We start from the raw sequence: 24738 nt of genomic DNA on the forward strand, positions 1-24738 counted from the left end.
TAAGCAGGGTATGACTGTGGATGTGAGATGGACCTGGCACCATTCACGTAAAAAAGGCTTTACCCGCTGCACTGCAGTTTCACTTTTACAATAAATCCATGGCCACGTGTGTGAGCCTGTGTCATAGACAGCGTTACTGTCCCGTCCTTCGCCTCTCCCGGGAGGATGCCTGTGCCGTGCGACTTTGTAGAGCTTTGCTTTGTTCTGGCCAGTGTAGCAGTGATCTGGGCCAGGCCCAAGCCCAACCCTCTGTGTCCCTTGCTTACTCCTTTACCTCTGTCCTCTCTGTGAGGAGACTGTGTCTAGACTAGTGGCCAGTCCCAGGAAAATTGCCACGTGGTACCCACTGAGTCCAGCCTAGGCCACCTGACTCCAGCTGACTACCCGACTGATGAGAAACAAGGAATGGTTGTTGCTTCTGTGCAGCATGGCACAAGTTTACTTATTATTTCTGAGACAGGGTCTCATTCTGTCACCCAGGCTATAGTGCAGTGGTGCGATCACAGCTCACTGCAGCCTCTACCCCCCGGCTCAAGCAATCCTCCCACTTCATCTTCCCAAGTAGCTGGGACTACAGGCGTGCATCACTGCACCTGGCTAATTTTTTAATTAATTTATTTTTTTTGTACAGATGGGGTCTCACTGTGTTGCCCAGGCTGGTCTTGAACTCCTCAAGCCATCCTCCTGCCTCTGCCTCCCACAGTGCTGGGATTACAGGATGTGCCACTGTGCTGGGACAGCAGAAGTTGGCTGTTAGTCATGGTAGCTCCCTGAGACAGTCTGTTTTGGATTCTGTTCTGTCTTGGTTCTTTGCATTTCCATCTACATTTTAGAATCCATTTGGAGATTTGCATTTTTATAAAAGCTTCTATACATTGAATTGCATTGAATCTATAGATCAATTTGGGGAAAATAAACATGTTTATAATATTGAGTCTTTGGGTTCATGAGTATGATATATTCTTCCATTTATTTAAACGCTTTTAAATTTCTGTCAGTAACACCTAGTAGTTTTCAGCACCGAGGTCTTGGGCGTGTTTTCTAACACGTCATCAAAAGTGTTGGTTTTTTTGATACCATTATAAATGGTACATTTGGTATTTTCATTCCTAATTATTTGCTGATGATATATAGAAATCCAGTGATTTAAAAAATATTTGAATTGAGCGTTCCTCAATGAATTCATTTCTTCATTCAACCAATGTAATGAATACATATTTTTCCAGGATATGGGAAAAGCATGGTGAGTGGCTGCTGTGATCGGGCGAGGGTGAATTACGCATGAAGTGTTAGCTGCTGTGGCTCCGATTCCATAGACACTTCCCCAAGCTGCCAAATGCCTATCTGTTCAAATTAGCGCTGAGCACTGTTCATACTACACAGCTCTGCAATCAGCTCCAGCACTGGCAGGTCACCGCGATCGCGGCTAGGGGTCACCCTGCCGGGTCACCGCGATCGCGGCTAGGGGTCACCCTGGTGGGTCACCGCGATCGCGGCTAGGGGTCACCCTGGCGGGGCACTGATCATGGTTGGGGTCATGCCAGTGGTACACTTCTGTGATCAGAGGGGGACTCTGGGCCCCTGCTACCGATGGGCTGGGATCCCACCAGCGGCCCAGAGGAGGCCTCCGCACAGCCGCTTGTCAGCCTGGCTGCACTCATCTGGGCCCTTCTAGGCGCCACAGCCCTGATCTTGCACTCTAGTTTTCTGCATCATCCTGGAGTCCTCTCAGGGGAAATTACGGCTGGTTTGAAATGGAGATGTTGACCTGTGACTCGGTGCCAGCAGGACAGGACTGGCAGAGGAGGTTGGTGTGTTCCTCTTCAGCGTGTCATTCACGTAAAGGAAATAGTGCTTAAATAGTTGTCTCCAAAGAGGACCCCAAATTCTAGAGCAATTGTTGGAGGTTAGCAGAAGATAATTTCTCTGGAAATAAGATGTAAAGAAAAATGTCGTTTCTAGTAGAAATGTGGCTTGACTAAAAGTTAACTCGTGAAAAAAAAATGAAAGGACCTTTGTCCATTTCATTTAAGATTCTGTCAACCTTGGAGCAGCCCTGAGGGCTCAGCTGTCCTCCAGCTCCCACTGGAGCCGTGAATATTTGGCGACGTCATCAATGAAGTATGGCCGTGTCCAGCCATAAGCGGGCATTGGGCCGGATGTGCTGGAAACTCCTCGGAGCGGGAGAGCAAAGCCCTTGGCAGCAGAGCCTGGCCCACGGCAGGCAGCGGTCCCGGCACTGTGGTCTGAATATAGGACCCCCACAGCGTGTCCTCCCTTAACCCCAGACAGGCCCTTGCTGGGCTATTTTGCTTCTTAGAAGAAGTGCCTTTTCTCCGCGGTTTCAAACAGTAACAACACAATCTCAACTTCTGGAACGTATTTTTGATTCAGATACCAACAATTCTCATGAATAACAACTGATAAAACCTTTCAGCGCGTTACAGATTCCGGTGGGTGACCTCAGGTTTGCCTGAACAGTACCTGCTCCTCAGGTGTTCAGTGATTTTCAAAAAAATCTTCCCCAAGTGCACATTCAGATGTGTGAGTGTGTGCATCATGGACGCTCCCCCCGAATACACATTCAGGTGTGAGTGTGTGCATCATGGACACTCCCCCCGAATACACATTCAGGTGTGAGTGTGTGCAACGTGGAAGCTCCCCCCAAATGCACATTCAAGTGTGTGTGTGCAACGTGGAAGCTCCCCCAAATGCACATTCAGGTGTGAGTGTGTGCATCATGGACGCTCCCCCCGAATACACATTCAGATGTGTGAGTGTGTGCATCATGGACGCTCCCCCCGAATACACATTCAGATGTGTGAGTGTGTGCATCATGGACGCTCCCCCCGAATACACATTCAGATGTGTGAGTGTGTGCATCATGGACGCTCCCCCCGAATACACATTCAGATGTGTGAGTGTGTGCATCATGGACGCTCCCCCCGAATACACATTCAGATGTGTGAGTGTGTGCATCATGGACGCTCCCCCCGAATACACATTCAGGTGTGAGTGTGTGCATCATGGACGCTCCCCCCGAATACACATTCAGGTGTGAGTGTGTGCATCATGGACGCTCCCCCCGAATACACATTCAGGTGTGAGTGTGTGCAACGTGGAAGCTCCCCCAAATGCACATTCAGGTGTGAGTGTGTGCAACGTGGAAGCTCCCCTTGAATACACATTCAGGTGTGAGTGTGTGCAACGTGGAAGCTCCCCCAAATGCACATTCAGGTGTGAGTGTGTGCATGGCTGGAGCTCCTGCCACACTCAGTCTCGCTGTTGTCTTTCAGGTCAGCAAAGTGGAACGCGAGAAGAACCAGGAGCTGCGGCAGGTGCGCGAGCATGAGCAGCATAAGACCGCGGTCTTGCTCACGGAGCTCAAGACAAAGCTGCACGAGGAGAAGATGAAGGAGCTACAGGCTGTGCGTGAGACGCTGCTGCGGCAGCATGAGGCTGAGCTGCTCAGGGTCATCAAGATCAAGGACAACGAGAACCAGCGGCTGCAGGCACTGCTCAGTGCCCTGCGTGATGGCGGCCCCGAAAAGGTCAAGACCGTGCTGCTGTCCGAGGCCAAGGAGGAGGCCAAGAAGGGGTTCGAGGTGGAGAAGGTCAAGATGCAGCAGGAGATCTCCGAGCTCAAGGGCGCCAAAAGGCAGGTGGAGGAGGCGCTGACGCTGGTGATCCAAGCGGACAAGATCAAGGCCGCAGAGATCCGCAGCGTGTACCACCTGCACCAGGAGGAGATCACCCGCATCAAGAAGGAGTGCGAGCGGGAGATCCGCAGGCTGGTACGTGGGCAGGCAGGGGCGGGCGTGGGCGAGGGTGCAGGGGCGGGCGTGGGCGAGGGTGCAGGGGCGGGCGTGGGCGAGGGTGCAGGCGTGGGCTCGGGGAGCACGCGGGCAGCACCGGCTTCACCCCCCATGACATTCTTAGCACAGGCTCCTCATGCCACCCCTGTTGGTTTTGAGGACCCTAGAGTCACGAGACCACTAGAAAAGGTTCAGACCCACAGTCAGGCCCGCACGGGGCAGGCCAGACTCTCACCTCCCCTTTTCCACAAACACCAGCTCTACTTCCTTTCTTAACTTGGGCCACAGCAAGAAACCTAGAAATCGGCACTGCCCATCCACACCGCAGGGTTCACGGACATCTCTTCTTAGTGTCCCGGGTCACACCTGACACCAGGCAGGGCTCAGTGTTTCGCAGCAGGAGTCCCACACATCCTCACGGGGGGACTCAGAGGGAATTCTCCAGTGATTCTCCAGTTGAACTCACAGGATCCAGAGAGGCGAGATCAGGAGGCCCCGGGGGGTGGGATGGCCCCCAGCTGCCCTGAGGTCCCTGTCTCTGCAGAACCGTTGCACTTGGGCTGGACCAGATGAGCTGCCGGTTTTGTGGATCAATGAGGTCTAACGTTGGCATCTGGTGCAGCCTAATAGCTCCAGAGACCTGGGCACCCATGGCAGGCACCAGGAGAGTCGATGTTCTCAAAGGCCCAGGGTTCAGCTGACGAGAATGTCCAGGGATTGCAAGGGACTGATTCCACCCGATGCCCCTTGTCCTTTGGAGAGGAGACTGTCCTGTGATTTTGGGGGAAATGGAGCTCTGTCTTAGAGGTGCGTGCCCCAGCCCTGTGCCTCTTCAGGACCCGGAGCCCCGGGCACCTTGGGTGGGATGCAGTGGTCTTTCCACGGGGCGTGGCTGTGCACCTGGGGCAGCCTCCCTCTGCCTGCTTCCCGGGGCCTCCGGTCTCCAGGGATGGCCTCCAGGCTGGGCCAGCATGTGGAACTCCCAGAGAGGGGCAGCCGCTCTCCACACCCACAGCCAGGAAGGGAGAACCAGCCATTGTGGAGTAAATATGACCTCGCCACAGTGTACACGTGGGTGCCCCCAAACGTGCCTAACCCGGGTGATTCCCTTCCTTTCCAAAGTGGTCCCTGTTCCAACCTCCCCTACACCTCTTCGCCCTGTCCCAAGCCACATATCGATGTCACCTTAGCAACCCAAGGACCCGGCCCAAACCAGCACTCATAAGAACCGGGTGCTTTCTTCGCGTGACACGATGCTTGCTTTTCTGTGCGGGGAAGGAAGGAAGCGTTGCCACTGTCCCGGGAAGGTGGGAGGGACAGGTGGCTGCCTCTGCCCAGTGCCACACGACCCTTTCATTTGTCTTGGTTGGATTCGATGCTCTCAGTAGAGGAAGGCAGCTTTTTTCTTAAGTAAAGGCTCGTAACAGAAACCAGCAGTTCCCTGCCATCCCCTCTCACCCCCGATCTGAACCCCCAGAGGCAGCTATTCACAGTTCCTCTGGCTGATTCTTCTGGATTTTATTTCAAATTTTCAAAAGCATGCTCCAACCTGTGTCTTCACTCTCCATCCTCGCCAGATCTCTCCCCTCCGTACAGGCTTTTTTTTTGCAGCTACGGGCAAGCTGGTCCTAAAACTTACACCGAAGTGCAGGTGTGTTCCCCGTTCTGTGGGTTATCTTTTCCTGTGCTCAACAGCATCGTGTTATGATCTAAGGTCTTAAATTTCAAAGTAAAACAGTCTAATTTGCTTATCTTTCCCTTTAGGATTGGTACTCACTTTGTCTTGTTTAGGAAATCTTTCGATCCCAGAGTCAGGAATCTTCATCTTTTAAAAATGTTATAGTTTCGTCTTGCATACTTATGTCTGTAGCAGCCCTTACTTCAAAAACCGTCTCCCCCTTTCTCACAGCTCCTCTCTGCCAGATTGCACCTGTTCTTACAAGAGTGGACTTTCTGGTGTCTCATTGTCAGTCCCTCCTCCGCCCTACTTTGTAGTAATTATTCTAGCTTTATAAAAAGGCTTCATTTCTGGAGTAGCACGTTCTCCTGCTTTGTTCACCTTAAAGAGTAACCTGCCTCTTCTTGGCCCTCTAGAATTCCATATACATTTCAGAATCATCTTTGCTGTAAATTAAAAAGAACTGTTGGAATTTTGGGTTTTTAACCAAACTGTTCAAGGGTAAATTTTAGCAGAGGGTATAATCATGACTGTCATACAAACTCTACAATGAACACGTCAAAGATTTTATTAACTCATTAATTGATGAGGAAACAAGATGTTACAACCAATTCAAATGAGGATTTGGCCCACAGAGATTCACGTTTCCTGCCTGACAAAACCCATTTGCATTCCCGTGAGCAGGAATCATGTCCACCTGTGCCCAGGAAATGCACACTTTGCTCACGCTCTTCTCCAAGTTTAACTTTTCTTTCCATGGAGTCGTAGAATAGCCTAGTCAGAGACAAAGGCACAGGCCTCCCAGGGTCAGGTCGTCCCCAGGGCCTCTGGCATTCCAATACAAGGACAGTCAGAAATCTTCTCTTGCCTATTTCAAAGTCTTACATGATCTTTTCCTACAGAATCCATAGATTTGGGACATCTCCTTTATTTACTGTTTCGATGCTTAAACCCCTGTCAGTGGGAAGACCAGTGTTGCCCGTGAGAGCCCCTGCCCCACCACCAACATCCAGGAACTCTGGGTCTGCTTGGGTCCTGCGGGGGAGGGATTGGCTGGGGGCTCACATCCCATCCGCGGTGTGACTCGCCCCTTCCCCCAGGGGTGGCTGCTGGAGCCCAGCTCAGTCCGCACAGCTGCTGGGATGCACTTCCTTCCTCCACCCCTGACCACAGCTGCCCAGGCCTCATCAGGGACACAGCTCCCATCAGTTCACCCTCAGCCCCATTCCCAGAGCCCAGCTATCTATCTGTCTATATCCTGGTTTTGTGCAATTTAAATAAAATAATGAAAAACCCAGGGAGTACTTGGCTCCATGCCCATATCACAAGAGGTGCCCTGAGGGCATCAGCTGTGGTGAGAGGTGCCCTGAGGGTGTCAGCTGTGGTGATGGAGCTTCTGGTGGCATCAGGAATCCAGCCACCGGGACCCTTTCTTCCTGGGGACCCTGTCCCAATGGGGCCCCCTTGCCTAACTGACAAGGGTCCCAGGACCTCAGATCTTCTCTTTTAAGGCCGTCATTTATGAGAGAACACCCCGGCCTCTAAAATCCCGTGGTGACGGACAGGGCTGCTCCCCAGGCCCAGCTGTGAGGGAGTGTCTGGAGTTAAATCTACGCGTGAGGTGGAGGGGCTGGGAGAGCCAGGCAGGTGTGTGGCCGCTCGAGCTGCGGGGGCAGCGGCACAGCGTGGTGTCCAGCCTGGGCATGAGAGGCAGCTTCATGAGGATGGGGAAGTCTGGGATGGAAGCTGCTCAGAGAGGGACTCGGAACAGGGCTGGGACAGAAAAGTGGGAGGAAGGTGGACTGGGGACAGGGGACTGGGGGCAGTCAGAGAAGAGGCAGGCTGGGGTGAGGGTGGGGTCCAGAGGCAGGGCCCTGCCCCAAGTGTCAGCAGAGTCAGTAGAGCTGGGGGTGCTGCTGGACCTTTAAGCCCAGGGCAGGACAGTGGCCTCCCGGGCCTGGCAGGAGCTGCAGGCGGGAGGAACATCATTCCCAGGTTCCAGGACAGCCGCCAACCCAGCTCATGGGGCTCCAGCAAGGCTAGGTGGGCGACGGAGGCCTCGGGTTCTCCCAACGAGAGACAGCTACTATTACAGCTGAAAATATCACATAACCTTGGTTCCTTACATCAGGCAAACATTTTGCTGTTTCTGTGGCCATAGCACGGGCCGGCACCTGAGTCCTAGAACATTCTGGTGTGGGACGCTCGGCCTCACCGGGCCCTGGGTGAGGACGTAGCGGGTCAGGGATGGGTCTCTGCTGCAGGGAGCGCCAGCCTCTGGGAGGAATCGATCTTTGCTCACGGTCAGACATTGCTCCCTCGAGAGCTGTCCCATGATGGCCTCCACCCCCAGGTGTGGGCACATTGCCGTGGCCCTGGGAGGGTGGTATCTGAGTCTGGGGACGGGCAGGCCTGGGGATAGAGCACTGTGGACGAGGCTGGCCTGACTGGGACACTGTGGGAGCTGGGGGTTTCCGTGCCTCCCTTGCTACTTAGCGCCACACGCATGGCCACAACCCCAGCAAGGATGTGCTCTCTGAGGGCGCTGCTTCTATGGGGTGGAACCTGTCCCACCAAGGTCCACCCTGAGGACAGTCGCGTCTGGCAGGGCTGGTGAAGGAGGGGGAGGGTCTGAGGGAGTCCTGGGTGTTCAGCACACACTCAGAACCATCATCTTCTCTTCCCAAAATGGACCCCGTGATTCAAGGTTCTGCCTCCCTAACTCTGGCCAGCAAAGCCTCCTGTCTTTACTTTGGGTCTGTTTTGTTCACTACTCAGTCCCCAGCACCTACGGTAGGTGTTCAATAAATTTTTGTTGAATGGATTTCAACAAGAGGTGGCCCATTGGTAAAGAGCACAGCACCCCTGTCCCCGCAAAGGCCCAGAGTCAGAGGCCTCCCCAGCCCCCCTGGTCGGCTCCCCGGCTGTCGGGGCCCTGACTGCCCCCCGGTCGGCTCCCCGGCTGTTGGGGCCCTGACTGCCCCCCGGTCGGCTCCCCGGCTGTTGGGGCCCTGACTGCCCCCCGGTCGGCTCCCCGGCTGTCGGGGCCCTGACTGCCACCTGCCCCAGCACCCCAGCCTTGGCCCAGACACCAGCCTGACTGTGGGTCTTCTGGGCCGAGGCTCCTGGGTGCCAACGGGAGGCTGTTGCCATCTCAGGAGCCCACTGGGCACCTCAGTTAGCCCTGGATGGGGAGAGACTGGAGGGGCCACACAGCAGGGCAGGGACTGGGCAGGGGCAGAAGCCCAGCCGGGCAGGGCCACACCTGCTCTCAGAGCATGGAGGCTTTAACAGGCAAGCCCTCTGTCTTGTCCTGGGACCCTAAGTGCAGGCCTGGAAGTGTGGCACCTGGTGAGGGCTCAGGGTCTCAGAGAGGAAGCCAGATGGAGGGAAGACAGGAGAGGCCTGCAGGGTGGGGATGTGGGAGCCAACAGACACCCCAGACAAGCACGGTCGCTGCTGCCAGGGCAGGGCTGGGCACAGCAGGGCTGCAAGGCTGCACTCAGGGCTGGGCTGCTGGAGAAGCTGGGTTATCCAGTGGGTCAGGGACGCCCTCTCCCTGCCCAGAAGGTTGTGGTGGGTGGCACTGGGGTTAGAGCTGCTGCTTTGCCCTGTACGTGTCAGAATGCCTTGGCTAGGGAACTCAGGAATCACCCACTGGCCCAGGGCCCATCATCTTCAGGCCCCAGTGATTCCACTGTGCAGACCCCTTGATTTTACAGCAGAGGAACCTGGAGCCTCGGAAGGCTCCGGAGCCAAATCCTCGTCTGCGCATGGCCCACTCTGTGCTCCTGGAGAAGCTGGGCTCCCAGCGGCTTTCTTGGCCAAATTTCTGCTAAAGTCAGACGTGGAAGGGGCGAGGCACTTTCCACCCACAGGTGCGATGACCAGTGCCCCATCCTGTCCGTGCATCTGGATGGTGACAGGCTCTGAGGACAGGGCCGAGCTGGGGCCCCAGAAGCAGCTGCGTGGCAGATCTGTGCCATGTCATCACAGAGCCTGAGAGAGCCGTCTGGGTGCACGCAGCTACTGCATGCACGCTCAGCGCGTTTGCTAAAATACAAGTTCAGACGTTGTTAAAGACTCTCTAAATCCAAAGAATTAGACGCAAAAGCCAGTTTCTCCTTCCCGTAAAGATCTGTGATTTCTAATATTGGTTCCTCCTCCCCCAGTTGTCTAGACAGCTAGTTAAAGTGGAATGCTAATATACAGCAGTAATTAAAACCCCATTCAAATATGGCTATAAAAATGAGGTCAGTTTCTCCCCAAGTGCTATTTTGGGGGTAGGGGTAGGAGGAGTAGCCTGTCCTTGCTTTTTGCCTGGAGACGGGTGTCAGGTAAGTGACCGAGAGCTTGTGCCAGGCCCTTGCTCTCTGATGGCGTCGCTCAGAGTCTGGGCATGAGTGTGTCTTCAAAAATGGCATTGCTGAGTGCAGCAGCAGCAGCTTCCTTTGCACCCCAAGCCTGGCTCCCACATGATGCTTTGGTTTTGCTGAAGACCCTGAATTGTGACTTCCAGCCACCCACAGCCAGATGCAGCATCGGCTTCTGGGGCCAAAGCCTCACCGTACAGGTGCTTGCCTTGCAAATGATGAGGGGGTCCCTGAGGTAAGGCCCACCCTTGAGTAGCTGCCCACGGTCCTGGCTGTGGATGTCCAGAGACACCTGCTGGGGACGAGTTTGGGAATATTGAGAGCCTTTAGAGTCCCAGGGCGTGGCTGTGCCCACAGCCGAACTAACCCAGAATTTCCAGAGGGTAACGCCTGGCATCAGGGTTCGCTTTTCTTTCCATTTTGTGGATGTTGAGGAAACGTCTACAGAGAATGGGCTCAAATCCGGAAGAAATGTGTGATGATCTGAGGCTGTGTGTCCACCATGACCCAGCACTGGGGTGGGGGCCCAGCAGGATTGCCCCTCCCGGCAGCACCCGTCCTTCTGCTGCTGCTTTGCCCGCCCCGGTGCGTCACAGCCGAGCCGGCCACATCACCTACATCCATTGCCACGCGGTCGCCCGTCCCACCCTGGCACATCACAGCTGAACCAGCCGGCCGCGCCATACACGTCCATTGCCACGTGATCACACGTCCCACCCCGGCACATCACAACTGAGTCGGCCGGCCACACCGCACACATCCATTGCCATGCAGTCACCTGTCCCACCCTGGCACATCACCGCCGAGCCGGTGGGCCGCGCCATACACGTCCATTGCCACACACATCCATTGCCACGCGGTCACCCATCCCACCCCGGCACATCACAGCTGAGCTGGCCAGCCGCATCGCACACGTCCGTTGCCACATGGTCACCTGTCCCACCCCGGCACATCACAGCCGAGCCAGCCAGCTGTGCTACACATGTCCATTGCCACGCGGTCACCCGTCCTTCTGTGAGAGGCATTTGAGTCATGTCCCACACTTGGCCATCATACGAGCACCTATCACATCCTGGGTGGCCGCGTGCATGCCTTTCTCTTGTGCGTTCATGGGGCGACGAGGGGAATCGCAGTGTGGTAGGTCGGGCAGCTGCTTCACCTCAAGACAGAAGAGCCATTCGGCTGGTGGGCAGAGCCCCCTCTCGTTCTACATCCTCATCAGTGACAGTATTGCCATTTCTTTAGGACAGCGGCAAGAAAGAGGCTGGCCGTTCCACTGCCCATCTGCATGTCACCTTTCATAAAACACCTGCTCATGTCTTCCCTGCCATTAAGCCAGAGTATTCACCTTCTCCCCGTTGATGGCTTCTCTCAGTTTGTGGCTGACCCAGTTGTCTTCCTCATGCTGGCTTTAGATGAAAGAAGTTTGGCATTTTAAGGAAGCCCGATTTGTCGGTTTCTTTTGTGTGCTGTGTGTGTCCGGTTTGGACATCCTCTGCCCCTCCGAGGGCGTGAAGTTGCCCCCTCTGTGTCGCTCAGATGCCTTATTGTTTTTCTCTTAACATTTAATTCTATAATTCGTCCGAGTTCGGTTTTTGTGAGTGGTTTGGGATGGATTGAGTTGGATATCCCTGCTTGCTGTGTGGATATCCAACTATTTCAGGACTGTTTTTTGAAATGACCGTCCTTTCCCCCTGAACTGCGATAGCACTTTGGTCGTGCATCAAGTGAGCCCACAGACGCGGGTCTCTTTCCAGGCCCCGTTACGTTCTGCTGGTCTGGTGCTCCGCCTTGCGGCGTTAGTACCACGTCTTAGTTCCGACACTCTAAAGCACATCCTGACATCTCGTCGTCTAAGTTCTACAACTTCCTTCTTTCCCTTCTTCAAGATTGTTACCGCTTTTCTGTATGAAACTTAAATCAGCTTGTCAGTTTCCACAGAAAAACTGGCACCTTGAACCTTAATGAACCTGGTGTATTTACTGTTAGATTTTTCTCTTCTCTCAGCCATGTTTTGTAAATTTCAGTGTAGAGGTCTTACATATCATTATTATAATTATTCCTAAATATTTAACGTTTCATGCTATTATAAATGGTCTGCTTTTCACATTTTAAAATATTACTTTCCAATTATTTTTCGCTGCTATACAGAAATACAATTGATTTTTATATCGATCTTCTAACCTGCAGCCTTGCTAAATTCACTTATTAATTCTAACAGCTTGTTTGTATATTTCAAAAATATTTTCCATGTACATAATGTTGTATGTGAACAAAGACAGTTTTGGGGGTTGTTTTTTGAGAGATAAGTTCTCATGATCGTATCTCACTGCAGCCGTAAACTCATGGGCTCACGCAGTCCTCCCGCCTCACGTCCCAAAGTGCTGGGATGACAGGAGTGAGCCACCATACCTCATCCCGAAGACAGTTTAAGTCTTCCTTTCCAAGCTCATACCTTTTGTTTTCTCCTTTGCCTTAATGCACTGTGAAGGCCTGCAGTGTAACTTTGAACAGAGAAGTGTTGAGAGTGACCACCTCCTGTCCTAATTCCCAGCTGCAGGTGAAAGTATCAAATATTCATTTCACCGACTGTGATGTTAGCTGCAGGTTGGTTGGTTGGTTTTGGTTTTGTTTTTGGTGGGTTTTTTGGCAATACTTTTTTTTTTTTTTTTCCTGGACACGGTCTCGCTCTGTCACCCAGGCTGGAGTGCAGTGGTAAGATCACAGCTAACTGCAGCCTTGACCTCCCAGGCTCAAGTGATCCTCCTACCTCAGCCTCCTGAGTAGCTGGGACTACAGGCACATGCTGCCGTACCTGGCTAAGTTTTAAATTTGTTGTAGAGACAGGGTCTCGCTTTGTTGCCCAGGCTGGTCGTGAACTCCTGGCTCAACTGATCCTCCCAAAGTACTGTGATTACAGGTGTGAGCCATTGCACTCTCCTAAAGTACTGTGATTACAGGTGTGAGCCACTGTGTCCAGCCAGCAATACTCTTCATCAGATTAAGAAAATTCCCTCGTATTCCTACTTTGCTAAGCATTTTTTTCATGAATGGTTATGGAATTCTGTCAAATGCTTTTTATGCATAAATCAAAATGATCATGTGTTTTTTTCTTTATTCTGTTGATGAGATGACACGTTAATTGGCTTTTAAGTATAAAATAAGCATTGTATTTTTGGAATAAATTTTACTGGGCCATGATATATTGTCTATTTTATATATAAGTATACACTGGATTTAGGATTTTTTCCCACTTTTTATAATGTCCTTGCCAAGTTATGGTATCTAGATTTGGCTGGCCTCATAAAATGATTTTGGAACTATTCTCCTTTTTCTATTCTCTCAATGAGTTTGTTCAACGTAAGTATATTTCTTCCTTAAGTGTTTGGAAAATTCACCAGTGAAGCTATTTGGGTCAGGAGTTTTGTGATATATTTTTAAATTATGAATTAAATGTATTTAATAAATATAAAGTTCAGATTTTATGTTTATTTTTATGTTAAGTTTGGTAAAATAGATTCTTCAAGGAGTATATTCAGTTAATACACATCTTCCCACTTATTGACATTAGACTTTTCTTTTTTTTTTTTTTTTCGAGATGGTTTCTCACTCTGTTGCCCAGGCTAGAGTGCAATGGTGCCATCTTGGTTCACTGCAACTCTGCCTCCTGGGTTCAAGCGATTCTCCTGCCTCAGCCTCCCAAGTAGCTGGGATTACAGGTGTGCGCCACCATGCCTGGCTAATTTTGTGTGTGTGTGTGTGTGTGTGTGTGCGTGTGTGTGTGTTTTAGTAGAGACGGGGTTTCACCATGTTGGCCAGGCTGGTCTCGAACTCCTGACCTCAGTTGATCCACCCGCCTCAGCCTTCCAAAGTGCTGGGATTACAGGCGTGAGCCATGGCACCTCACTGCTTGCTAGACTTTTCATCGGAGCTTCTTGTTATCCATTCACTGTCTCCTGTTTCATTGCTGATGCTGAGAATTTGTGTTCTTCTCTCGCTGTTTTTTACTCTCATCCCCCTGTTCCTTTTTTTTCCCTCCCTCCCTCGTCTTGCCTCTCTCTACTCCTTGCCTTGGATGGGGTTATCCCATGGGGTTATCCAATCATTGTATGGGATTATCTCCTTTTTTGTCAACATTTAGTGTTATTCCATTAGTAGTTACAGAGAAATATTAATATGTATCCTTAACTACATTCTATCATAAATTAGTAATTTTGCCGTATAACCAAAATACAAGTACCTTATAAGGCAATAGGTCAACTCCATTTACCCACTTCTCCTATGATTGTCATATATTTTACTTTGACACATATCATAAGCCCCCAAAGAAATGGCTTTTGCTGTTCCCATAAGCAGCCAATGGTCTTTTATATTTATATCTTTACAATTTCTTATCTGCAGTCTTTTCCCTTCGGCCTGAAAGATTCCCTTTAGAATTATTTGCATTGTGGGTGTATTAACAAAGGACGCTCTCTACTTTTGTCTAAGGACATCTTGACTTGCCTTCATTTCCAAGGATGTATTCATTGAACCTGGAACTCTCACATTGTCAGGCGTTTTTCTTAACACTCAAGAGATGTCCTGCCAGTGTCCTCTGATTTTGTTAGTTTCCGTTGAAAAGCCAGCCATCACTCTTAGAATTGTTCCTTCAGGCAATGTGTCTTTTTTCCTGTCTACTTTTAAGATATTCTCTTTAACTCTGGTTTTCATCAGTTTCAGTATGATGTGTCTAGGTGTGTTTTTGTAATTTTAAAAAAATACTGCTTGGAGACAGCTGAGCTTCTTGAATCTGAAGGGATGTCTTTTACCAGATATGGAAAATTCTGGACCATTATTTAGTCAAATATTACTTCTCCTCCTTTCTCTTTCTGGGATTCCAATAACATGTATGTTAGACACTTTGACTATACCTTACATTTTTCTTGAGCTCTATTCTGTTTTATTTTTCTATTTTTTCCTTTTGTGCTTTGATTGGATATTTTCTATCATTTTATCTTGGGTTTGTGATTTTACTGTGTCCAGTCTGCTTTTAAACCTTTGTAATGAATTTCTAATTTTAGACCTTGTATGTAGGATTTGAGTGCCTACTTCTTTTTTAAAATAGATCCTAATTCTCATTTGAATTACTGCATTTTATTCATTTTCTATCTCTATTAGAAAAATATAAAGTTTTAATTACATTATTTTTAGTGAGTTAATTACAATGATTTAAAAAGTTCCTATCGGCTTACTTCAATATCCTCATCATCTCTGGGTCTGTTTCTATCAATCACAATTATTTTTTAAGTTCTTGTTGGCTAACTCTAGTCATCTGTTGATGTGCTGCCACAGACTTAGCTTCGTTATTGGTTATTTTTCCCTGCTTCTTCACGTGTCTAATGATTTTCATTATATTCTTGGCACTGTGGGTGATGTGTTGTGAGGCTGCGCATTATGTTATTGTTGTCTAGAGAATGTTGAGTTTTGTTCAAGCAGACAAGTACTGACCAGCAGACTACCTGGATCCTTTTGAGGTGTGGTTTCAGGCTTTGTTAGGGAAGGTCTGTTAGTTTTCTCTTAATATGAAGTTTTAAAATCCTAGGACATTGTCCTGCCCCTGGAGTGTAGCCAGGGTCTAGAGAATTCACTATGATCTTCTATTCTGTCTGGGCTTGAATTGCAGTGTCTCGACAGCCATGTGCAGCCACTTACATTTCTACTTACCATTCGGACTCTCAGGAACTGTTTCCTGCAAGGCCTCTGGGAGTCCTGCCTTGCACACGTACAGCTTAGCAGTGGACCAGGGACCTGAGGGAATCCTTAGTCAGATCTTTGGCATTCCTTTTCTGCCATTCCCTCCTCTGCTCTCCAAATCCCAGCTGCTGTGGCAGCCCCAACCAAATTCTGATCTTAGTGTCCTGCAACAGAAGAGGCCTCTGCAGCTCGGGCTCTGTTTCCCAGGAGAGAGGTTGCAAGAACGCCCTCAGGGAAAACGTTAGGGGAGGCGGGGCCCCGTGATGAGAGGCACTGATCTACAGGCTCAGGGATCTGCCTGTGGACAGCGGTCGCAGGGGCTGTGACGCTGTGTGTCCGGGGCCCTGTGCTGACAGGCACTGCTTTCCTTTTCTCCTTCTCCTGCCCCTGCGTTGTGTATCTTGTTCAGCTTCTAGACTTGTTCATCGCAGAAGGGTAAGTCTAATGCCAACTACCCCATCACGTCTGGAACCAGAAGTTTCTGGGCATCAGTACCTTTTTTTTTTTTTTTTTCCTTCAGAAAGCTGCTTAGGTGATTCCAGCACGAGACCACCAAGCTTGGGAACCACCTTCTCATGGTATTGGCAGATTATCCCATGATTGAGGGGGACCTGGACATTCTGTCTAGAGAAAAATTCCCAAGGGTTAATTCCCAGACATGCAGTAAGTCCTGGTGTCTCTGGGACATCAAGGGGCTTGGGCTCCTAAAATGTCACATTTCCCCCTCATCATACAAGCTCTCCTACCCCACCAGAGGCTGAGGGAGGCTTGGCGGCCTCTTCTAGCACCTCCAACGCACCCCCACCCAGGTCTCTGCTTTCTCACAGGGAATAATAGGACCAGGCTCTGTATCTCATCTGTGTATTTTTTTCCCATCTCCCCCACCCATTCTAAGCTCTTGGGAGCTGGGTGATGGAGGTCCTTCCTTCTCTCATTAAGACCCTCTGTGCTAGGAAAACAAGCCCCAGCTAGGACAAAGCACATCTCCTTATCTCTAGCACATCCGCTGGGAGCAGCAGCCTTTTCTGTCTCACAAGGCGCATTCGTGTGCTCACGTCACCACCCACAGAACCAAGAGTTGATGCGGAGGGAGGGCCCCCCTGAGGTGCAGACTCCTCTGGAGGAAGAGGTGGTGTGAGTGACGCCTGCCAGACGTGAGGGCTCCCTGCACAGGCCCAGTGTTTGGAAGGATCCTGGCTCCATGGGCCCTGGGTCAGGAGACCTGCTCGGGGGTTGCAGGTACTCTGCCAACACCTTAGGCAGTCACCTGTCTGTGGCACTGAGGCGTGGTCAGCCCAGGTTGGGAGCAGCCACAGCTGCCAGTGACCATGCTGGGGGTGATGACGTGGCCTGTGTAGTGAGCATGCTTCATGGCTGTGGCGAGACGCATGTGTGCAGGGGCCTCAGCACTGTGGGGCAGTGGTGAGATCATGTCCGTGGGCTTCACAGCAGGGAGGCTTATGAAATGCAGCTTCCCAGGCTCCACCCTAGAGGTTCTACATGCTCATCTTGGGGGGCTCAGGGTTCTGCCTATGGACAGCCGTCACAGGTGGCTGTGATGCTGCATGTCGGGGCCCCATGCAGAGAGACACTGTGCGGGGCATGCTTGGGGGCAGGCAAGTCGGGGGCGGGCAGAGTGGAGGGGCATCTTCTCTCCTCCAGCCTCAGCGTCGGCCTGCACACCCCCTGTCCTGGAGAGTACCGTCTCAAGGGGCTTCTCTCCAGTTTCCAGGCATCCTCTGCAGCTGGGAGTGAGGAGGTCCTGGTGGGTGGGGAAGGCAACAGAGGGAGCTCATGGGGTGAGGGAGTATGGGGGCGTTGTGGGGAGACGGGAGTTCAGGGGATGAAGAGTATGGGGAAGAGTCGGGGGGCAGGGAGATGGGAGCTTATGAGGTAAGGGTGTGGGGGGCTGGGGAGATAGGAGCTTATGGGGTGAGTGTGTGGGGGCTTGAGAGACACAGGACTTAACGAGTGAGGGTGTGGGAGATGGGAGCTCTGGGGTGCAGGTGTGAGGCCCAGGGGAGATGGGAGCTTATGGGGTGAGGGTATGGGGGCCTGAGAGACAGGGTACCTAAGGGGTGAGGGTGTCGGGCCCGGGGAGATGGGAGCTCTGGGGCACCCGGGGGCTCCAGCAAGTGTTGTGGATCCTGTTCTTAGTGCCGGGGTAGGATGTTTTATGACAGCCTCTGACTCTTGTTTGTGGAGCTGACTCTAGGGTTGTGAGTGGAGCAGCTTGGGTAGGCACAGGAGAGGACACAGGGCGGCCGTTTGGAAGCCATAGCATTCGTCCCAGTGGAAGATGCTGGCAGTGGGGTGATGCTTGCAGCCTGGTGCACCAGGACGCCTGTTTCAGCTTTGAACGTCCCGTGTCCTGGGAGCCCTCTCAGTCCGGAACCCGCTGGGAGGGCTCTTCCCCCGGGTGTCTGTGTGGGTGCAGGTGGGACAGGAGACAGGTGTGCCGCCCCCCACCCACAGCCCCATGGGAAGAAGTGCAGGGTGGGGTGCGGCGCCTGCACAGGCATGGGAAGCCCCCGAATCCTGCCCTGCCTGCTGCTGGAAACAGCCCACCGTGAGCAAGGTGGGGGCTCCTGATAAAAGAAAATCTTGTTTGAGTCTGAGAGTGTAAATGCCAGGCCGCAGGCACAGCTGCTGATGGACACGCTCTTATTTCACCGGCCCCATTCCTGCTAACTGACTGTGTTGCCTCTTTCAGCATTGCTGTGTGCAGAGAAAATGGGGATTTAGCAATTAAGGATTTATTTTCTTCTGTTCAGCTCATCACTTGCTCCATCCAGGCTAATTAGACATCTCATTTCTTTGTTTCCAAGCTAATTTCAGCAATAGCAGATTTATTAGCTTGTTTAAACCTCAAACAATGGGTAAAGCAGCAAGATATCCCATTCTGCTCTGTTGTTTGAAAATATATTTCAAACTGAGTTGTTCATCCCCAAAGACCTTGTCTTTTCATAAATCTAGTGCCGTGGAAAATGATGCCCAAAGTGCCGAGCGTGTCTGTCTGAAGAGCGGGGGCTGTCGGGTCTGCTGTGCCCGCGTTCTGGCTGGCACATTCCTGCCCGGAAGCGGGGCGGGGTACTTGCAGGCAGCGGCTGCCATATCCCCGGAAGGAAGGACTTCTTCCCTTCATAGGTTGAGCACAAAGCGCCACGTTGTAGGGAGGGTGGGGAGGGCCGCCGACCTCTCACAGCCACTGGTGGGGCAGACATCCTGCACACCCCTGGGCTGCCGTCTCACCCCAAAAGCCTTGGCTCGCAGCCAGATTAATGAGCAGTGTGGCTCTGCCTGAAGACAGCTGTGCGGGGCCCCAGCTTTGTAGCCATGCCCAGAAGCATGGAGGGGCGGTGTCCAAGGACCACAGTGGTGCCCCTACGTTGCACAGCCCTCCCCTGGGGAGTGGGCCTGGGCTGGGGAAGGGGTAGCACTGGCTTTCAGGCCAGAATTTCTGTTCCCCATGGTCTCCCCTGCCTGTTTAGGGAAGAAACTTGGCCGTGGCACCTTCCTATTGGCAGAGTGTGGGTAACTTGGGTGTCCTCCTCTCTGTCCAACCTACAGCAGAGTCAGGAGCTGGAGGTGGTTTCTGCTGACCCTGCTAGAAAGTACCACCCCTGTGTGCACCCAGGGCCCCGGCAGGACAGCACGGAATGGGGTGCCTTGCTGAGCACACAGAGCCCGGGGACCGTCAGGAAGGAGTCTCCCGCTGGCAGCAGCTCTGCGTAGCCGGCTGAGCCAGGGCCTGCTGGGAGCCCGGGTGTCGTGCCTCAGCCCAGGGCCACGGGCTCCTGCTCTTAGTCCAGGATGCTTCGCTTTTGCTTCCGGTCTCAGAGCCCAGAGCCTGGCAGGGCTGCGCCCGTTTCTATGGTAACTGCAGATCCGTGTCCTGCCGCCTGTGTGATTGTGTTCTGTTCTCCTTGTAGATGGAGGAGATAAAATTTAAAGACAGAGCAGTCTTCGTGCTGGAGAGAGAGTTAGGGGTTCAAGCCGGGCATGCTCAGAGACTGCAGCTCCAAAAAGAGGCTCTAGATGAGCAGCTGTCCCAGGTCCGAGAGGCCGACCGGCACCCGGGCAGCCCCAGACGGGAACTTCCTCATGCAGCTGGTGCAGGAGACGCTTCAGACCACTCGGGAAGCCCTGTAAGCACCTCCCAGGCCCACCGGCCCACCCCGTGTCACAGACAGACCTGGCCATGTGGCTGCATGGCCCTGCATGGGCCACTCCCCCAGGAGACCAGAGCCCGAGTTGAGGCAGCACCCTCCTGCCTGGGCACCTCCCCACCCAGCCTGGCCCTAGGTGCTCAGCTCCTCTGGCTCTGGTCCAGAGGGCTGGTGGACTCGTCTCCTTCCTTTCTGTCTACATAGCATCAGCTCTGGCCCTGTCACCCTCCCGTGGGCCCCGGCCTCATCACCCTTCTGCTGCAGTTCATGGCACTTGCTGGCCCGGAGTCCGGCCCTGGGTTGGTGGGAGGAGGCTGTGCTGGGTATGCGCTGCCACCATCTCCAAGCACACGGCCTCTGCCTCTGGCCCGGGAAGGCTGGTGCACCGGCTCCCTGCCCACCGCGTGCCCAGCTGGCCCCTCAAGGGTGATTTCCGGCACTCTCATCACCAGTCACCCTCCCACCCGCTTCTCATGTGATCATGCCACTCTGCGCTCCTCCCTGGGCCGCTCTGTCGTGTGGGGTCTGCCGACCACCCCGGGCTGAGCTCCACCCGCTTCCTTGCTGCCGCTCCGCACTCATATCCTCTGTCGTGGTTCTGGGATGCGCTGGGGGATCTGAAGTCCAGGGACCCTCCAGCTGGTCCTTCTGGGTCTTTGACCCCGAGCCTCTCCTGCACCTGTTGAATGAGGAACTCGAGTCGGGCCCAGGACCATCCTGGATGCTGCTTGTTCGCTTTGAGGATAAAACTGTGTGTGAGCTGAGCCGGTCCTAGGACAGTGACATTTCAAGAATAGAAAATATTATTTTAAGATCTCATTCAGACAGCTTCATTGAATGAGATCCAGCCCCTCCTGCTGGTGCGTGGTAGACTACAGCATTCACTCCAGAGAGATCTGAAACCGGATTCAAATGTTTTCACCAATTTTTGAGTGAAGTCCCAGGGGTCCCAAAAGCGGCTCTTTAGAAGCCCCATTGGAGGCAGGTCACCTCTTTTGGAAGTCTCCCACAAGTGTCTTTCCCGTGCTCATGTCATCGTACCAGAGAAATGCCGCCCCGTGGGGCAGGGGGCGCGCACCCTCCTGAAGGGGCAGCGGCAGGGGCCAGGCAGAGGGCTGGGAGCTGGCAGACGTCCTCCTGGCATCACCCACACTCGCGGTTTCTGCATTTGCACGCCCCCGCCCTCTCCATCTGCATACTTCTAGACATGTCTGCTCCTTTTCATTATTTTACTTTATGTTATTTTAAAATAGTTGTGTGTGAGGTAGGGTCTCGCTCTGCCCGTCGGTTCTGTTGCCTCACGCGGTTGCGGCAACCACAGTGCCAGGCTGGGTGCCTTTCCCCGGGGGGCTCCGAACCTTCCCGGCAGCCGCGTGGAGGTAAAGGCGCGCGTCCCACGGCAGCGTTTTTGTTCCCGTAGCGTGCTGGGATTTGCAAAGGCTTCCCAGGCTTGTGGGTAGGAACCGTTATTTGCAGTTGATTTTTGTTTTAGGAACAGCAGTTGGATGAAAAAGATGCCCGGCGCTTCCAGCTTAAAATCGCGGAGTTAAGTGCGATTATCCGCAAACTGGAGGACCGCAATGCATTGCTGTCGGAAGAGAGGAATGAGCTGGTGAGCGCGGGCGGGGGCTTCTGGCTCCTGGGGGTTTGTGACTGCGGAGCTGGGGACCTGGGGGGCATCCACTTTCAAAATTCCTTGCGTAAAGGAGTGGTGGTTGCAAGGACCGGCCTTGCGTCGAAGTCTCCTGACTGTGTTCCAGTTGAACTTTATTAGCAAAAACAGGTAGGGGTCACATTTGCCCCTCAAGGGCTGGTTGACTAACCCCTGCTCTGCGTTAGTGGGGGCAGAAGCCGCCTCTGTTCTGCAGGTGATCTGGGATGTGCAGACGCGGCCTCTCAGTGGGGCTGTTGCCATTGGTCCTTATAGCCACTGAGATTTCCAGGTAACTCGATATCCCGGAGGGTGCGTGAGCTGTCACGTGTCTGCAAGGGTCCAGTAGGCTGGGTGGTTTTACCACAGCCCTTCTTGGCAAGACAAAGCGCTGGCCCCAGACTGCTGGTCTTCATCTTCATCCCCATCTGTCAATGGGACGGGACTCACCCCCGGGGACGCCGAGCCCAGCCCTGAGCTTGGGTTCACTAGGGCACCGGGCGAGCGGGTTCACCTGGGCACTGGACGAGCAGGTTCACCAGTGCTCTGGGCAAGTGGGTTCACCCGGGCGCTGGGCCAGTGGGCACCACTTGGAGGCGTGGACTTCCCAAGTAGAGGGCTGGGGACTGCGTTGTTGCAGCCCAAGCTGTGGTCAGTCAGCCGACTCTGCGTGGAGACCTGCTGGTTCTCCGTCACTTAAAGAACAATCACATAGTGCGTTGTCTTTCAGTTGAAGCGCGTAAGAGAAGCTGAGAGTCAGTACAAGCCTCTGCTGGATAAAAACAAGCGCCTCAGTCGGAAGAACGAGGATTTGTCTCATGCTTTACGCCGAATGGAAAACAAGTTAAAATTTGTCACCCAGGAGAACATAGAAATGGTGAGGGGGTGGGGGGCTCCACGGGGCCACGGTCGCACCCGAGCTCCAGGCAGCATCTCCTCCCTTCTCCACGCAAGATTTAGCATGACAGCCGGTCCCGGGCGGGTGGCCAGGCCTTCTGCTGGAGTCTGGCCTCACGCATGTTTGAAGGGGAGCAACCGCCAAGCCCAGCCCTGGGGAGGGGGACCCTTGGAGGAGGCCCTGACCTTGCAAAGGATGCGGCTGTGGGGCGTCCCCTCCCCAGGCCTGTTTGCCCACGTCTCACTCAAGGGCCTGGAACAGGTGGCCTCCAACTCGGAAAATCCCGGGCGAGGGTAGTAAGAGGCTGCGGAGTCCCGGCTGTTGGGGAGGAGAGGAGGCCTGGCACACAGCGCCAAGCAGGAGTCGGGGGCAGGGAGTCTCTGCTCCGCCAAGGCCATGAGCCAGGAGTGGGGGGCCGTCAGCCGGTGTCACCACGTTCCCCTGCCCTGAGGACCCCAAAGGCCATGAAGCCAGAGTTTACTCAATGAGTAATTCAGCCGGATGTGGGGGAGAGGCGCTCTCCTTACCCCTCTCTATGGAAGCCCCCTTCTTTTCACACTGAATTAGAGTCAGGAGGGATTTGGGAGAGGAGGCCACATGGGAAATGGGCACAGATGACCCAGTGTCAGCTTCAGGGCTGTGAGCGATCCCCTCCAGCCATGCTTTCTGGGAGACCCGCAGGGCCCATGTGTGTCTGTCCGGGCTGCACACACCTGCCCTTGCTGCAGGACTGGGCCCACATAGGCCTCATTTCCCCAGGGACTCTGCAGCTGGGCTGTTCTGAGGCCTGAGCAGAGGCCGCCAGCCGGGCAGCTGAGAGTGGCAGCCCGGGTTGAGGGAGAAGACCCCCCCGCCGACCCACTGTGTTCAGCCAGACCCCTTCACTCCCCAACTTGTGATGTGGGCTGCTTGGCGTTTCAGAGACAGAGAGCTGGAATCATACGGAGACCCAGTTCCTTGAATGACCTTGATCAAAGTCAGGATGAGAGAGAAGTCGATTTCTTGAAGCTTCAGATTGTGGAGCAGCAAAACCTCATAGATGAACTGTCTAAGGTACCCGGCGGGCTGTTTGCTGCGGCCCCGTCCTCTGGCTCCCAAGGGGCTTGGCTAACAGGGACCCTGAGCAATTCCGTAACATGCTGTCTTCCTTTCCTAGACCCTTGAGACCGCCGGCTACGTGAAGAGCGTGTTAGTAAGTATGGTCAGCGCCCGCTTCCCCACGCCTCCGCTCCCCACGCAGTTGCCCGTGGGACCCATTCTGTGCCCAGGGCTCCTCACAGACCAGACAGAAGCGGCCGCGGCAGCCTTTCGGGTGGATTTTGTTGTTGCAGTGCCACCTGGCCAAGGCTGTGCACGGGTGGCTGACGCCCTTCAGTGTGGGTCAGAGAGGAGCCAGGGACACCCACTGATGCCCCAGTTGAGACAGCACCAGCTTGGGACGATCATGTTTCTCAGTTAATGGCCAGGGTCAGACGGCTGCCCTTCTCCGGCTGCTCACCCCACCATGCCTTTCTCCCTGGCCAGCACAGACAGGCAGCCGCAGCCCAAGAGGTTCACCATCACGGCCATGAAACCACAGCATGGGTTCCCCGGAGAGCAGCAGGACCCTGGTCTCCTTAGTATTTTAAGGGCGCCAGTCCCCACACAGATGTGGACGCCACCCCTGCAGGGTCCGGAGGGGCCCTGGCCATGAGTCCCCTTCCAGCTTCCCACAACTGTGTGCCCCTCAAGTCACCTGCCCCGTGTGGCCCCTGGACGCATTTAGAAGGGGAGCTGGTAGACCATTGAGCAAGACAAGCTCAGAGCCCACCTAATTGGGGAGCCGTCCGTGTCACCCTGGAGACAGGAGCTCCCCGAGGAGCAGAGCTGGAGCCAGGGCCTCCCGCTGTGGTGTGGGGACAAGCCAGCCCAGACACCGTCTTCCCTGTCATCCAAATGATGGCACACGGGCAGTAAACCGTGGACTGAAACCGGTGGAGCTGCTCTACCACTTACACAACCTCTTCAACTGGCTTCCGCAGGAGCGGGACAAGCTGTTAAGATTCCGGAAGCAAAGAAAGAAAATGGCAAAACTTCCCAAGGTAAGGAACAGCACACCGGCACGTGCGGAGAGTACGCCGGGTGTGTGCGGAGAGGACCACGCCCGCGTGTGTGGAGAGCGCTGGTGTGTGCGGAGAGGGGTGCGCCGGTGTACGTGGAGGGCGCTGGGTGTGTGTGCCGAGGACCGCGCCCACGTGTGTGGAGAGTATGCCGGGTGCGTGTGGAGAGGACCGCGCCCGCGTGTGTGGAGAGTACGCCGGGTGTGTGCGGAGAGGGGTGCGCCGGTGTATGTGGAGGGCGCTGGGTGTGTGTGCCGAGGACCGCGCCCGCGTGTGTGGAGAGCGCTGGTGTGTGTGGAGAGCGTGCTGGCGTGTGCTTAGT

The 24738-nt window shown here is 53.7% G+C and overlaps 1 protein-coding gene across 48 annotated transcripts in view, besides 3 other annotated features; it reads left to right on the forward strand.

The window, feature by feature from the left end:
* The window catches only part of JAKMIP3 (Janus kinase and microtubule interacting protein 3), a 148495-nt gene that overhangs the window by 77417 nt on the left and 46340 nt on the right, over positions 1 to 24738 (forward strand). For 22 of the 48 annotated variants that reach the window (NM_001392043.1, XM_011539676.3, XM_047425106.1 and 19 more), the window contains 7 exons: positions 3297 to 3794; positions 19532 to 19747; positions 21261 to 21380; positions 22150 to 22296; positions 23239 to 23370; positions 23474 to 23509; positions 24339 to 24398. In NM_001392043.1, the coding sequence (NP_001378972.1) occupies positions 3297 to 3794; positions 19532 to 19747; positions 21261 to 21380; positions 22150 to 22296; positions 23239 to 23370; positions 23474 to 23509; positions 24339 to 24398 (1209 nt within the window). The remainder of the gene's footprint in view (positions 1 to 3296; positions 3795 to 19531; positions 19748 to 21260; positions 21381 to 22149; positions 22297 to 23238; positions 23371 to 23473; positions 23510 to 24338; positions 24399 to 24738) is intronic. The other 26 variants (NM_001392055.1, XM_047425107.1, NM_001392056.1 and 23 more) reach the window with 5 other exon arrangements.
* Positions 6046 to 6884: an enhancer, noted in NCBI's record as "H3K4me1 hESC enhancer chr10:133933330-133934168 (GRCh37/hg19 assembly coordinates)". NCBI's record gives its function as "activates a minimal SCP1, AML or CMV promoter by ChIP-STARR-seq in naive H9 embryonic stem cells {active_cell/tissue: H9 hESC(naive)}" and the evidence as "EXISTENCE:reporter gene assay evidence [ECO:0000049][PMID:30033119]".
* Positions 6885 to 7722: an enhancer, noted in NCBI's record as "H3K4me1 hESC enhancer chr10:133934169-133935006 (GRCh37/hg19 assembly coordinates)". NCBI's record gives its function as "activates a minimal SCP1, AML or CMV promoter by ChIP-STARR-seq in primed H9 embryonic stem cells {active_cell/tissue: H9 hESC(primed)}" and the evidence as "EXISTENCE:reporter gene assay evidence [ECO:0000049][PMID:30033119]".
* Positions 23995 to 24516: an enhancer, noted in NCBI's record as "H3K27ac-H3K4me1 hESC enhancer chr10:133951279-133951800 (GRCh37/hg19 assembly coordinates)". NCBI's record gives its function as "activates a minimal SCP1, AML or CMV promoter by ChIP-STARR-seq in naive H9 embryonic stem cells {active_cell/tissue: H9 hESC(naive)}" and the evidence as "EXISTENCE:reporter gene assay evidence [ECO:0000049][PMID:30033119]".

Source organism: Homo sapiens, chromosome 10, assembly GCF_000001405.40.
Source record: "Homo sapiens chromosome 10, GRCh38.p14 Primary Assembly".
Classification (NCBI taxonomy): domain Eukaryota; kingdom Metazoa; phylum Chordata; class Mammalia; order Primates; family Hominidae; genus Homo; species Homo sapiens.